Source organism: Homo sapiens, chromosome 5, assembly GCF_000001405.40.
Source record: "Homo sapiens chromosome 5, GRCh38.p14 Primary Assembly".
Taxonomy (NCBI): domain Eukaryota; kingdom Metazoa; phylum Chordata; class Mammalia; order Primates; family Hominidae; genus Homo; species Homo sapiens.
Window position 1 is genome coordinate 93,415,163 of NC_000005.10, and position 16,514 is coordinate 93,431,676.

The following is a 16,514-nucleotide window of genomic DNA, read 5'->3' on the forward strand; positions in this document are numbered from 1 at the left end:
AGGTTGCTGTAACAAATACTTCTCTGCCACTTTATAGCTGACCTATCTTGGACAAATAACTTAAACTCTATATTCTTTTAACTGTATCTACTTCACAGGGTTGTTGTCAGCAACATGAGACTATGTCTTTTTTGGGGGAGGTAGAGTGGGGGTCTCATATCCCTGGTTTCTAGCACAGTACCTGAATATAGTAAGCATTCAATAAATACCAAGCTATTATTGCTGATCTTACTCATATGCCAGATCTAAACAAATAATGCCAGACCTTAACAACTCACCATTCAGTATTTCCAATAAAGATCTGATCTAATCCAAATAATCAACATGGTGTGCATTAGAATGATCACTTTCTGACCCAAATCATAGAAAACATGGTTTGACAAAAGATATTATCTGACTTGTGAATTTATTTTTATGAAAACTCTTATATGTAGAACCACTGGTCATCAAATTAATGAACTGACTTAACTTTTTTAAATGATCCACTTGTATTGGGCAGTCCTGGAAAGTCAAAGGCACATTGCCCCAAGAGTACTGGTTCTGTCCCTGCCTGTTATTATTGCAAGCTTCCACTGTTCATGCATACACTGCAGAAAAGCCTGATTTTTATAACACGTTTATGATTGTGAACTTGTATTGTAATAATACAGAATCTCAAGAAAAATAATTCTTCTGTTTTCTCAAAGGAAGATGGGCACTTTTTTTGCTTCTACAAAAATAGCATGGATGAGAGTTTTCAGGAAAACACATTTCTCTTATTGAAGAGCACTTAATAAACACACACCTGACTGCTTTCATTTCACCACAAGTGGTGCCCATTTGCCAGTCATCGAAGTAATTCAGTCTGCTCTGTTGAAGTGATGGATTCTACAAGCTGTGTAAGGCTGTCATTAAGGAGAGGATAGATTATAGTCTCATGCAGGACATTACAGTACTTACATTTCTCACCCACACAGCTTATGAAACAGGGGAAACAAGAAGATGAAAATAAAATTAAACATGGACTTAATGCCTTTCTCTCCCAATGAATGGAATGAGCTGGTCACTAGCACACACTTTTTACTACTTATATATAAAGTTCCATTTCCTTCTAGTTAATATAAAAAGCTTTGACACAAAGACTGTGCACAAAATTCATTATGCAGTAATTTATGTCTAACTTGCCTTTGTGCCTCTACTTTTAAAATATTATTCTTTTTTCACCCTATTTATACAGCCATTTTTCCTTCTCTATAATTTTTACCTACTTAAAATTCTCATATAGAACAGAGATTATATCTAGAATAAGATTCATTAATTTGGGTGAATTGAAAAAGACAAGCTTGAATGAATGAAAAGTCTAAAGTATGGACAATTATCAAAAAGAGCATAACAGCAACAGCTGACATGTGGGAGTTTATTACATGAAAATCACTGGGCTTTTTACCTTATATTATCTCATTTAGTCCTCAAAACAGTCCTGGAGCAGGTATTATCATACCATTTTTACAAATTGGAAAACAGACTTTAAGAGATGTTAACTTTCCTAGGGCCACATAGCTACTAAGCGGTCGAACTCCTTCCAAAGTTGCAGTTGTCTGACTCCAAAGCTCGTGCTCTTTACAATCACACCAAACTGCTAGGTTTTTTTCTTCAATCAATAATAATATTAAAAGTAATATCTCAGAGGAAGGTTACAAAACTCTAAAGTGGTTTATTTAAAAAAAAAGTATTTAAAATTAGCTCAACACTTATTTTAGGTAATATTTACCTGGCATTTATGAAGTAACTACTTCACACAAGGCATTTCTATACATTAAAACTGACCCTCACAACAACCTCATAAAGTAGATAACTATCTCCATTTTACAGATGGGGGAAAATACTCAGTGAAGCTAAGGTCACATAGCTAGTAAGTGGCCTAGTCTTTGCACTATGCCACACTACTTCATTATCTGCCTTACAAGATCTTTCTCTAAAGTGCTAGAGAAATCTGCTTTTTAAAGGAATAGTGCCATCCCCCTGCAATTTTATTTATACTATTTATTAGCTCAGCAAAGCTTTAGTTCAGAGACAATGCAAAGGTAAACTTTAACCCAGGCCTTGACCTCATTTTCATAAATTCCAAATTTAGTGAGGTCCATGTTAATGGGTTTTATTGTATATGGAAAAGAGTTTAATAGTCACTTAGCACTGCTCTATCCATTAATAAATCTAAAAAGCCACACAAAGGTGAAGGAAGGAAGAACAGTGACCTCAAAACTAAAACAGATAAAGAGTGCCTATAATTTGTACTCCAGCAAAAAAGTCAGAATATAAAACTGCCAATACATAACAACCAATTCAATCTTACAAGTTTAAATGCTCATTCATCAATTAAAGAAAATTAACCTAATCAGATGCTCATATTAAAGAATACAGCCATAGCAATTCAGCAATGATAATTAAAAGTCCATTTCAAAGCTCTTTGGTGTGCAGTGAAATGATCTAACAGCGAGGCTGCCTGGTTCTTTTCACGGTGTTGTGTAAATGTGCACAGTATGTGGTCATTCCTAGCTGTTGAACATGTTCATCTTCGCTACTCATGCTGCACTTGTTTCTGATGCAGATATGCTTCTAGGTACACAATGAGTGGGAAACATGTACAAGATATGACAGTGAATAAAGCACATGTCTGCAGCACTGTTCTCACCATGCCTACAGCCAGTTCCATAATACACAGGGGATTTTTTTTCTCCTTGTAGGTCATCACCATACTGAAAATATTCTAAATAAATCCTACAGGTGTCAGAGGGGGCCACCTGGAGCACTTAAGAGTCCCACAACTCTGTCAAGTTGCATCATGCTTTTTTCTTTTCTTTTCTTTAGGCCAACTTGTGAAAGAGCTGCCACATGCCTCTCTGCAAGGGAAACAGCCTTGGGACACAAGCAAAGCAATCCAGGTAAAGGATAGCCAACTATTCTTTAGGCCTGATGCACTGTGGAATAGGTGGCAGAAGCAGATTTCAGGTCCCTTAAAGTCTGGCCAGACTCTCAATAGGTCACCTACTTCCTGGTGACTGACAGCCGAGGCCTAAAGGGGGCCAGCTTGCCGAGGACCAGCTTGAGGTTTGCAGTTTTGGACACCCAGAGTGAACTAATCTCTCATAGCTATTCTCCATAAAGTATAAAAGAATAAACTTCCCACCTGTAATCCCAGCACTTTGGGAGGCCAAGGTGGGCAGATCACAAGGTCAGGAGATTGAAACCATCCTGGACAACATGGTGAAACCCCGCCTCTACTAAAAATACAAAAATTAGCTGGGTGTGGTGGCATGCGCCTGTAGTCTCAGCTACTTGGGAGGCTGAGGCAGAGAATCGCTTGAACCCAGGAGGCAGAAGTTGCAGTAAGCCAAGATTGCACCGCTGCAGTCCAGCCTGGCAAAAGAGCGAGACGCCGTCTCATAAAAATAAATAAATAAATAAATAAATAAATAAATAAAAACCTCCCTACTATATGAATGTAAATTCATCCAAATATCTGAGGCTCCCATAATTTGCTGACCCCTTATCTGTGTTACCTGACTGGTTTGTCCACCAGGCTCACCACAGTATTATGTTAGGATTCAGCCTTTCACTTTCACTTCCAACTCTCTTGGCCACAGCATCATAATTGCTACCATTTCTTTTATAATCAATTTTGATTTCAAGTCACTGAAAGCATTACTGAAAAAGAATATGGAGTTTCACTCTCTGGACTATTCAATGTCATAGCAAGAAAAAAACCTTCCTGGGTGTGTTGGATAAACTGAGCACTCTCAGAATCCTTCCCAACCTATGAGTTCCTCATTATTATTAATCAAATACCTAGCAGTACTACTTCTAGGAATCTATCTTACAGAAATAGCAGCACAAGTTCACAAAAACAAAAACATTACCATGTTCACTACAGTGTTATTTGCAATGGCAAAAGTGTTAAGTGATCTAAATGGCCAACAGTTGAAGGATGATTAATTATGGACCATCCATACTCGGGAGCACTGTGCAGCCATTAAAAATAACATAGTATGCCTCTGTTTACTGGCATGAAGCTATGTTCAGTGAAAAAAGGATGATGGACAACATGTATAGAGTGATACCATATTTGGAAAAAATACCACTGTGTATATACAGAAATATATGTGTACAAAGGGAAATTACATGAAAAGAAATATATCTTAGAGATTTGTAACTATAAATATGTAGTTATGTATATTTCTGTTATGTGATATTCAAGTAAAAACATTTCTATTGCTGGGCACAGTGGCGTGCACCTGCAGTCCCACCTACTTAGGAGGCTAAGTCAAGAGAATCACTTGTGCCCAGGAGTTTGAAACTATAGTGTGTGAAGACAGTGCCTGTGAATAACCACTGCACTCCAGCCTAGGCAATACAGAAAGACTCTACCTTTAAAAGAAGTTTCTATTATATACTTATATAAACATATATTTGCATATGCATAGAAATATCGGAAAGGATATACATTAATAGTGGTCACTTCTGGAAAGTGAGTTTGGAAAGACAGAACTTTAAGTTTTTCTTAAACATATATGTGTTGAGGTTTCTAAAGGATTCTGCAAAATTGACACCCCTTTCCTCTCCTAGGTTCTGAGCAAATAAAGAAATAATACAAAAATAAAAACAGATGGGGGACCAGAATATAACCTTTATTCTGATTGAAGCCAAGGTGGAGGAGGTAGCTTAGTCTGAAATCCAAAACACACATGGCTAAGCTATAGAATTATATCATCTTGGGGCCGGGCATGGTGGCTCATGCCTGTAATCCCAGCAATCTGGGAGGCAGAGGTGGGTGGATCACTTGAGGTCATGAGTTCAAGACAAGCCTGACCAACAGGTGAAATCCTGTCTCTACTAAAAATACAAAAATTAGCCAGGTGTGGTGGTGCACACCCATAATCCCTGCTATTCGGAAGGCAGAGGCACAGATCACTTGAACCCAAGAGGCGGAGGTTGTAGTGAGCCGAGATTGCACCACTGCACTCCAGCCTGGGCAACAGAATGAGACTGTCTCAAAACCAACAAACAAAAAAAATTGTATCATCTTGGCAGGCCAGGACAGCAAAAGCTGGGATGAGCCCCCAGCCTTAGAGAAAATGTGTGCTCTTGGTAGGCAGGCCCTTCTCCAGATAGAACGAGCATGGCAGTAAGCTGAGCTAGCCCACTTATTCACCCCAAATTTACCAATTAGGTAAGTCACTCCCCTATAGAGTACAGTGAGAAAGAGGGTCTGTCAAGTAGGAGTATTGTCTTTGTCTGAGAAAGTAGTTTTAGCATATCTGGGGTGGCTGAAGCCATACTGCAAAGGGTTAAACAGTGAATGGTGAAAAGGCAGAGACTGCAGAGTAGACAAGTCAAGAAGAATTGAAAGAAAGAAGGCTGGGAGCAGGGAATTTAAAAAAGGATTTTTTTAAAGGAAGAGGCCAACAAAATGTCAAAGGTGGAAAATGGAAGAGACAAAATAATTTACAGGGAGAGTCTAAACATAGTGATAGAGTCATGGACATAAGTGAATGTGGCCACCTCTTACTGAGACATGAACAAAAGGGAAGGAAGAGAAGTTGAGTTCTTATCACAGGACCAATTCTGTAAAAAGAAGGATAGATCCTAAAGCTAAATCCAGAAAACAAAAAATAAACTTGCAGACTGCCAAAGAGCTGGCTGTGCTACAGTCATGACAAAAACTCAGCAGAACCAAGACCCACTTGTAAATGTTTTATCAAACTGGGAAAATTACAAGAAATATGTGATTTATTATTTCTAAGACTGCTTAGATTAGTATTGATATGTACATACTCTCCATATTATCCAAAATCATGCTTCATAACATCAGTTGATTTACATGCTCCTTTGTCCCTGGGAGCCCTAAGGAATAAAGTTTTTCATAAGAAACTTTGAGTGATTTAAGCTTGACTGGCTCTGTGCAATTTTTCATTGCAATTCTGGCTACCATTCTACCATATGCCCCAAATCACAATGCAGTATAAAGTAAAATCAAACAGACCAAGGATTGGTGGGAAGATTCCTAGTCTACAAGTCTGGCTCCATACTTTTAACTGATGGAGACCGAAATGTCTGCACTGGAAATGTTTCTGTGTTTCCACTGATCTATTTTCATGCCATGGTTTCAACAGCTTCAGAAGTTCCAGTAAGAAAAGGCTTCTTCTGGTAAACAGATTCTTTTGAGTTAAAAAAAAAAAAAAGAGGGAAAAGCTTCGTATTTTTCAACAGTCCCCAAAGTTATATTCTTTATCAGGTTTTAAGGTTATGTTCCAAGTCTCCATTCCTCGGTGTGGTTTAGCTTTACAACCAGCTGCCCCCTCTTCACTAGCAGTTTTTGACGTCATCCAGGCTTTGCAAAATGTGTGCTACAGCCCCTACTCGGGCTTTTCAGCTGCTATGAAAGTTATACTGCATTTGGTTAAGTGTGGAGGCTGGCACCAGGGAGGATCCATGATGGTGATTATCATGCAAATCAGCCTCCTGCAAGTCAAGCTCCTCCGAGGAGGCCTTCCAGCTCTGCTTCCCCCAGGGCCGCTCCATTGTCCCCAGCACAAAGCTAACCATCTTGGCTGCCGACACTGGATGCCGCTGAGATTGGTTCTCCTGACAGAGATTAGTGGGCAGCAATGAATCTTTCACTTGGGGTAGAAATATGATTTTATTTAAGAAAATAACCATACATAATTGGGCTTCTGTCACTTTAAATTTTAATGGTGAAAGTAATATGGAGGCTTCTGGAACCTTAAATTACGGCTTTCAGAAGCTTCACACTGAATCTTTCAATTATTCTCTGTAAGTACTTTCTCAAAGCATGTGCCACCATGACATTGATATCACAATTCAAATCTAAATTCAAAACTGACTGCAAGGCTATGAGCTATGTGCTGGCGTGCATGCTGCCTCATTTTATCTTTGAACATCTGACGAGGCGAATCAAGAGGCACTCTCCCGGAGCCCAGCCAGCTGTTTGCCAAATATTCAAATGCTCTGACATGCAGAAGAGCCTTTCAGATTTCCCCACATCAAAATTAGCAACGACCCCCTATTTTTCCCATTAGCTTCTGGCTCACCTACATCCTTTCACGCAGGCCCGCCTGACTCACTCAGCTAAGTGCTTGCTCTTGCTCACCTCTCGGGTTCCCGACTCCAGCAATTGGATCTGGTGTGTGCTGCAGAATGGCAGCCAGTTCAGACAAAACCATGGGGGAGAGTTTTCAAGTCAGTGTTTCCTTGAAGTGGATCTGAAAGAGTGGCTGAGCTGATATTTGCAGTAGTAGGAAGGCAGAGAGCAAAGACAGCATGCAGGTTTTACTTACAATACATTCATTAGGCTGGAGCAAAAAATGGAATTGGAAAGACAATAGCCAGGGGAAAGTGAAAAGGCTTTCCTTTTCCTTTTATTTTGGTGTTAACTTCCTTGTTATATATCCATTTTATCATTTTTAATATTTTTATCTTCATATTAAAACAAGTGGAAAGGAATCTTTTTCATAGGTCTAGCTTTAGACTGCTTCAACTATTTTTAAATGTGTCCCCTACCTCAGTAAACACAGCACCACATTTACAACTGTAAATAACTAATCCAGTTGCACATTGGTTAATCTACAATGAAAAACAACCCTTCTTTCACATTTCAAAGGTCCTGGAACAATTTTCCTCAGCTGGATGACTTAGAACAGAGGCTGTGGACAGCACCTGGGGAGTTTAGAATGGGAAAGGGACTAAGGTGCCAAGTGGTGAAGACAACAGCCCCTACCCCAGCGGCTGGCAAAATTTCCTGAAGCTGGACATCAAAACCCGGGCCAGCTGGGTGAGGGGTTCCTTCATTCCTTCCGGAAAAGCTGGGTCTTTACTTGCTCATTTCCTATGATGTGTTTATACTTGGACAGAAGGGGCACAGCAGGAATGCTTTCAGGGCACATTTAGGGGGAAGCCACTCTCACAGGAATCATGAATGCCAGATGTCAAACAAACCTGTGCTGCTGAGAATTCTCTGAGCAGGATGCAAGGGGCACCACATCACGTCTGAGGAAACTGCTGTCCTGATCCGGGGCCTCTCCTTAGCTACAGGCAAAGGCAGGTAGAAATCCTTTCATTTTAATAATAATAAAAAAGGAAGCTGCTAGTGTGAGCATAAAATTACCTAAGAACTAGATAGGCTGATGGCATTCCAGTTCTGCCAGTAAAGTCTATTCATTCTCTCAATTCAAATCAGCATAAGGCAAGTAACTTGCCTCTGGGAACCATGGGTGGCAGAGGCAGGAGGCCCACACGTGGAATGGCCATAAAACAGACATCAGTCAACAGCCTTACCCCAGCATTATTTCCTGAATACAGACTCAAACATTGCTTTGCACTGAGATCAGGATTATGGTGCCCAAGTAGGCACTCTTGTAAGTCACTGACCATGGACAGAGAAAATTTTAAAAATCCATATTGATTTCCAAGTCCAAAGTAGTACAATTACAAATCTTGTCTAACTTTAACACCGACGGCTTATGGAGTGTTTCAAATACAAAACAGTTCTACATAAATCATTCACTCAAACATTTACCGTGCTCCTATTATATGCCAAGTACTATACTTTCATGAGTCAGCATTGGTTAAATAATAATCTTAATACTACTAGATTTCTCTGCAAAATTTAGCACTGTGGCTCACCCCTCCATCTTAAAGGCCTTCACTTCTGTAAAATTATCGTCTCTTAGGAAGGTCTGCCTCTCAGACTACTCTGTCTTTACTAATTCCTCTTCCATGGTCCTCATTTCATTAAACCCACAAGGATTGAGGAGCAGTATAGCAAAATCACCTGGGGGACATATTTTTCACACTGCACAGATCCCCTCCACTCCCATTTGAGAATCATTACATATGTGAACCCCTCACTATTGCTAGCTGGAGTAAGTTATTTCTCTTAAGAGTCTGGGGATGAAAAAAACAAAAGCTGAAGATCTCTGTACCAAATACTTTCTCTAGATGATATCATCTACTCTCATGACTTCAACTACATGCCAACTACACACTGATGACTTCAAAAATAATAAAGCCCAGACCCACGTCCAAATGCCTAGCACACCTGTTTTCAAATGACCTACCATCACAAACTCTACAAGTACATTATATTATATTTTCTAATATATATAATTTTATAATTTATATCAAATTAAATCATAAATTATATAATTTATATTTTTCTCTCCTTTTTCTTAATAGTATTAGTATTTACTATATGATCAAGGTAACTAGCCATATTTATACTCCTTCTTCTCCTTCACACTTCCCATTCTCACCCCACATAGATCAAATCTGTCACCAGGTCCTTTCTCTTCTTCCTCAAGAACACATTTCAAGTGTATCTACCTACCATTTACTATATCCCACTTGGACCTCTGCATTAGCCTCCTCAATCCTCCCTACCACCAGCCTCTGCACTTCAGACTATTCTCCACATGCTTCTGATTCCTACTGATTAAAGCAGGAAATCCTTGAATGCATTCCTCATAATATACAAGATGATTTCTGATAGCAAACAGACCAACTTCTTAAATATTCATATTTTAATAGGTTTCAAAAAACAGAATTAACACATCAAACTGGGTGTCAAGTTAAAAGTTTGCTTTAAAAATAAATTTCAGTATAAAACTCGGGCAATTTAAAGAAAAATTAATCTATTCAGGTAGTGTGAGATGTTTTAAAAAAGATAAAAGCAGTACATGAATCAATGATGTTGGGAAGCTTGGTACTAGAAAGTAGGTCTAAACTCCTTAATATGGTATCAGATATCTTAAACTCCTTAACATTCTCTCCATTTTTAGCTTCTCCCTCTCCTACATTTCCTGTACGCTACATATAAATTCTGTGTATCAGCTTTGCTGAAAAACAAAACACCCTAAATTTACTAGCTAAAACAACATTTTATTTAGTTCATACGTCTGTGAATGGGCTGGGCAGTTAGTTCCGTCCGAGCTGACACCCCAGAGAGATCAGGGGAAATCTGGGCTGACAAATGATTTCCCCTGGACACTCCCATGTGTTTGTGATCAAATGGTGGATCAGCTGGTAGTAGATGATCTCACTCGCATGTTTAGCAGTTCGATGACTGCTGGCAAGAGCCTCGGTTCTTTTCTGGGTGACCACTCATCCTGCAGCACAATAACCTGGGCTCATTGACAATACAGTCACAGGGTTCCAAGTGCAGAAGCCCCAGTGCATGAGTCTCTGCACTGTTTGCTAATATCCACTGGTCAAAGCAAGTCATATGATCAACCTAGATTCAGTAGAGAAAGAGAGACTCCACCTCTTAATGGATGGATCTGCAATGTCACTTTGCCAGGAGTTAGAAGCAGGAAAGGGAAATTGGTGACTGTTTTTACAATCAACCAACTCTTACCATCCATCAAATATGCCAGGCATATTCACACACATGCTCATGCTGTTCCCATCACTTAAAACGAACTCTCAACTTCCTCCTGTCCTTCTGGGAAATTCTTATTGCTTGTCCTTCAAGGCTCTGATCAAATATAGCATTCCCTGACACCTTCCCTCAAGGCATAATTAATTATTCCCTCATACGTTCCCATGATCCCTTGCATTGCCTCTATTATATCATTCAGTGAATTGTATTATAGTTATTTATAATGTCTTATAAAGTCTCTCTCCTTAAATAGACTGTCTTTGTACCACCAGCATCTAGCACAATGTCTGGCAAAGAACAGGCATTCAATAAACGTTCAATAAATTAAATTAAATTTAAAACAAAGATTAAAGTCTCCCTGGGATATGCCTACATTAAAAAAGATTTAAGGTACAAATACAAAACTGGCCTCATGAGTTAGCAGAACTAATTAGATCCATCTCACCTAATTTTTTTTTTTTTTAAGATAGAGTCTCACTCTGTCACTCTGTCACCCAGGCTGGAGTGCAGTGGTGCCATCTTGGCTCACTGCAACCTCTGTCTCCCAGGTTCAAGGTATTCTTGTGCCTCAGCCTCCTGAGTAGCTGGGATTACAGGCACAAACCACCATGCCCAGCTAATTTTTGTATTTTTAGTAGACATGGGGTTTCACCATGTTGGCCAGGCTGGTCTCAAACTCCTGATCTCAAGTGACCCTTCCACCTTGACCTCCCAAAGTGCTGGAATTACAGGCATCAGCCACCATGCCCGGCCCACCTCATCTCATTTGAAGGGCACCAGGCAGGGCAATGCTCCTTGCCAAAAGCATTTTTTCCTGTGGGACTGGCACAAAGCCTGAACTTCTAGCATAATTTATTCAAGGTCTGAACATGTTTTGATGTAATACAAACAACATAGGCTCTGGAGTCAAAAATACTACTAGGACTCAAAACCTAACTACCTGTGTGATACTGACAATTCATTTTGTGCATATCTCTGCACTACTTTTTTCATCCATACAATTATCTGTGTTGCAGTAACACATGTAAAGCAGCTAGCACAGTACCTGCCATACACCCAACACTCATATCAAATCACAAAGTCTCCTGTTTAAAAAGCAAATGCCCCTGGCAGGGGGTAACCACAAGCCCTTTTTATTGCCATCTGAGAAGAGTGGGAAAAAGGTAAAAGGAAGAAGAGTGGGAAAGTAAAGAGTGGCAGATAAACAACTTCGCAGTTTTACTGAGAGCTGGGCTTGTGGCTAGTGATGAAAGTTACATCAGTTTTTAGAGATCCAACCAAGTAATAAAAGTTCCCCCCCTCCCGCCAAGGCATATAATGACCATTTCTGGTAGTACAGGACTTGGGAACTGCATAATTTAGGACTTTGGGACTTGCATAATTTTTCTGGGCATCGATATGGAATCACCATTTATAAGTATACCTAGACAAGACTACTGAAGAGTTAGTTAAGGAAGAAACAGTTATTTAAATGTTACTCTGATCTTTTTCATGTATAATCTCTTGCCCTTGTCCTTCATTTAAAAGGGGCAACTGTAATGGTAGTAAACAAATTTCCTCCTTACCTAAGGATACAATTTTTTTAAGTGAAAAAAATTTAAAGAACACTACAAAACACACAATTATAAACTTTATATCGCTTCTAAAGGAAATATTGCCATTGAAATCAAAATAAAATGAGTTTTAGACACACTTATATCCTGTTTCAAAGTAAAGCCAAGTTTTAATAAAATGTTTAATTTTCCAAAATCCAAGCAAGAACTCCTATGAGAAGTCCCTACAGTTGTCCCTCCTGAGGCTGTTCTCACATCTCAGTGACAACCCTGAAACACTTCTGCACTTCGGGAGCACTAAACCAATCTACTTTTGTTGACATCTAACCCTGTAAATGAAACTCCACTGTTACCCATGATCTTTCACCCCAGCTACATTGTAAACTTCCTGTTACCCAAGATTCTGTTTTCTGTATTTTCCTAGTCCACCTGTCCCTACTCTCAGCACCCAGATTTGTACTCAATAATTGTTAATTCATGGCTGACAAGGAAATGTATAAATACCACTTGCTGACAGTAAATTCTTTGGTCTGTTCAAGTTCAGACCAAGACCTCTAGAGATCCTAAAGACTGAAATGACTATGGTGCCCCACATTCACATGTAAATTAAAAAAATACTAAACCATAAAGGACAAAATGTACACGTATGTTTTTAAATTAAAATAGTTTCTGATGGCAAAATTCTAGGTAAGTTCATCAAAGGCTGAACTCTTCTTCATTCTTTTCCCTCCCCATTATGAGAGCATACATGTGTATGTGAAAGAGAGAGAAAGAGAGAGAGAGAGAGGTGAGGGGAGAGGGAGCGAGGGAGGATGAATCTGTCTGTGACTTCCAGCACTGTCTGCTATAGGGTAGTCCAATTCTGGGTCCACTTCATAAACTATATCAAAATGCTAAATATAGTTATGGATGCTATACAGTATAGAATGAGCAATCAAATAATTGCCTAAATCCATATTCATATTTGCTGTTCTCTTGTTAAGTATCCAAATTCTATTTCAGGTTTGTAGTAAGAGAGCTTAACATAATATAAATAGAAGCAATGTAATATATTATTTCACCTGCTCTTACAATTGTATTGTGGTTGTGTGTGGAAAAGGAGGTACAGCAAATGATTGTCAGCAAATCACTCACAAAAATGTGAGAACTTCAAGTTCTTTGCACTTTATTTCATTAGACACCAATATTTGATAAAAGCAACAAGCACCAAATTATATTAATATAAACCTTCCATAAATAATGTTCACAGCAGTCACAAAGTTTAAAATACAGATGCTAATTACAGTGCCAAATCAAAACTACAATATTTCAATTAAAACTATTTTCACTTGTAATGTGATTATCTTATTCATAGTAACAGGTATTAATATTTCTATTAAACCTGAATAGGTTGTGCTTAGCCATAATTGTTCCAATGGATCTGTTTCCAGTTTTGTATTTTAAAATCCAAGTGTATTCCATAGAGTTAAATAGTTTATTCTGATGTACCCAGGTAGACTTTTGTCTTATAATAGAAAATGTTTGGATATCTAGGGAAATGGCATCAGAAAAATCAGGAAATGCTTGTGATTGTACAGGTACTTCACTTCTGATTATATAAGTACTTTAAAAACAGTAAAAATTTTAAACCCTATACTTGCATTGAAGTACAGCTAGAATGCAAATTTAGTAATAAAACTGAATAATTTAGTAGCTTGTTTTGTGATCAGATCTGATTGGTACTCTCTAAGACGTATCCAATTTTTAAAAATTCTCTCTGTGGCTTTGAACTGGGGTGGATGCATATTATGTCCATTAAATTGGAAGCCAAGGGTTACTTGAACAAATAATATTATGGCTTTGTAGAATGACTAATGGTCTTTGCAAAGGCCCAGACTGGCTTCATCTTTCTTAAGATTTTATCACTGATTTGTTCTTAGTCATGTGCAGTCACTAAAGGCAGCAGAGGCAACAAGTGTTTGATGTATGATACTTGAGCCACTTTTGTCAGAGCTGCATTTATTTTTATGCTATACTCATTCTTGGTACTCTTATATGTATGTGGTTCTTTTACTTTATTTTTTTTCTTGTTTCCAGTGATGGGTCAAACAGATACAGCAATTATAATAACACTAACCTCTAAAACTCTACGAAATAACAAATATCTACTTCCTTGCAAGGGATGACTTTACATTGCAGATTAAATAAATGACCACAGAAGCAAGCATCCTAATATAAGAGTTTAACTCTTTGTTCACTGCCATATTTGCACAGCTTACAAAATATCCCTTACCTTTTAGCATATATTATCAATTTCAATTCAATCCATCCTGTGACAATCTGCAGCAAGTCACAGAAGTGCTCTTCTAGTTGAAAGGAAATTTCAAGGGAGGAGGGATGTGGAAAAACACATTTAATTTATTCTATTGAAAGGGGACATTCTAAATGGTTTCTGAGCTCTTTTGCATCTTCTTACACACTGCAAATCAGCTCAGATATCTTAATCAGTGGCTATAAACATATCCTTATCAGTAACATATTCATGAAAGATGGTATGTGTATGAGCTGCAAAATGTTTGGCAGAGACCCAAGAATACAAAAGAAAGAATATGGTAAAGAATTGATGGAATATCTTTGTGTTTCAACCCTATTCATTCTGGGAATTTTCTATCATCTCTGTTCCATTTGGAAGGATAATAGACAAACCAACAGAATGTCAGGTTTCTGTGACTTGGTTTCATCTATATACAGTTACACATATTGTACAATGATCCAGGATGGAAGCATATCTGTACACAATGATGAATATAAGTACATAATATATACCTTCTTGTGTCTCTAAATTTTTCTATTCATGTTATTATCTTATGCAGAGTTTAGTGCTTTTCTGTTTTGACAATCTAAGCACTGTCTAAACATTGTTTCATGAAATCAAGAGTAGTCCTCGACAATTAATTTTTGCAGTCAATGGTCTTCTCAAAATGGGCAACTCCCCTTGGAACTTAGGAGCCACAATAGCAGACTGTGTGAGTGAGGGAGTGAGACAATTCATTAGTCGATTCTGCAGCAACTCAAAGTGGCGGGGGATGTCAGCCCCTGCTCTGGTGCTTCAATACTAATGAGAGTTATTGCATATTCATAACCCCAAATACAGTCAGCTTCTTGTAAAAACTTTTGTCACCCAGGCTTCATGGCAAGAGCGAAGCACTGCACTCTTCGTGTCGTGGCACTTCCGCCAAGTGAGAGTGAGAGCAAGATTGATTGCTTTGCAACGCTGCCTGACGGGGAACTAAAAGATGCTGCCCCAAGGGTCCTAAAACTGCTTAGTTTGATTGCAAAGCTCCAAATAATCAAAGAAACAAAAAGGAGGCATTGGTGGTGAATGTGTATGTCGATATATACATATACACCATTAAAAATATATCAAAAAATACTCCAAACAAGAAATTTGGCTTATTCAGTATTCAGAGTAATTATCTGTTAGGAATGTAAAATTCTCACATCAATTCTTATTATGCCGAAAGAAGAATGGTGTGGCCCAGTAAACTTGTTCTCATGTTGCAGAAATGCCATGCATATCTTAATAGAAACAGGTTTCTAAAACTGTCTGAAGTTTCCCGTCATTATCAATACCAAAGCTTAGTGAACTGAACCTGTCAGTTCTGCCAAATCTAGAGCTACCTGGAATCCAATTCCTCAGGAGCCTTTTTGTGTTGTCACTGTCTCCCTTGCTTTATCATCATCATCATCATCATCATCATCATCATGGTGAGTGTCCAGAAATGAGCCATCCAGTGTGCCTGCCAGGAAATCCTAAGGGGTCAGCACTATACCATCTGACCCCAAAATACCTCTGTTTGGGGTAGCTACCAGCATCCCCTGGAGTCAGAGAAGGGAAATGTATGTTTCAGCACCCACTTTGAAAAAGCCTTGAGCATTTTTTCACTCGTAATGATGTCTTCAGCTGGAATGCCAGCACAGTTACACATTTTTCTGACAGCCATACAGGCTATAAACTACCCATAAAAATTAAATAAAACAGGACAGTGAAAGAAAACTTTCTAAATTTGATCACACTTGAGTTGTTAAAAGTTATTTCCAGATGCATAATGTGTATAAATATCTGCATAGCTAAAGACAAATCAGGACTACTGAGATGATGGTGGGGGGGAGATGATGAGGTGTTGTGGGGGATGGGTCTCACCAAACTGTTTTATATCTTAGTCACAGACACACAAGCTTTGAAAATAGACGGATTTGTGTTTATGATTGATTGAGGTAACTGATTATCCACAGATATTTTAAGTGTTGAGACATTAAATTGTCAGCTCTATCAGTTTGATTGCAGTAAAACATGAAAACATTGACTTTTGTCTAGTTAGAGAAATTTATTTTTCCCAGAATGACAATCCTTTAAGTAGACACCAGGCAGCTTGCCAGATTTCCATGTCATACACTGAAGTTTGCAAATGCAACCCATATTTTCAAGTGTTTTTCAAGGTGCAATGAATGGTGCATAGGTCTTTTGCAAATAGTCTTGTAATAAACAG

The 16,514-nt window shown here is 38.5% G+C and overlaps 1 long non-coding RNA gene across 40 annotated transcripts in view, besides 1 other annotated feature; it reads right to left on the minus strand.

The window, feature by feature from the left end:
* NR2F1-AS1 (NR2F1 regulatory antisense RNA 1) overlaps positions 1 to 16,514 on the minus strand; it is a 176,234-nt gene that overhangs the window by 5,807 nt on the left and 153,913 nt on the right. For 2 of the 40 annotated variants that reach the window (NR_186194.1, NR_186184.1), the window contains one exon: positions 7,993 to 8,082. The exons of 37 other annotated variants lie outside the window; for them this stretch is intronic. This is a non-coding gene — a long non-coding RNA (NR2F1 regulatory antisense RNA 1). Of the gene's footprint in view, positions 1 to 7,147; positions 7,260 to 7,992; positions 8,083 to 16,514 lie in introns of all 40 variants that reach the window. One more of the 40 variants, NR_186200.1, reaches the window with a different exon arrangement.
* Positions 6,341 to 6,635: a silencer, noted in NCBI's record as "tiled region #8230; K562 Repressive non-DNase unmatched - State 24:Quies". NCBI's record gives its function as "represses a minimal TATA promoter and a strong SV40 promoter by Sharpr-MPRA in K562 cells {active_cell/tissue: K562}" and the evidence as "EXISTENCE:reporter gene assay evidence [ECO:0000049][PMID:27701403]".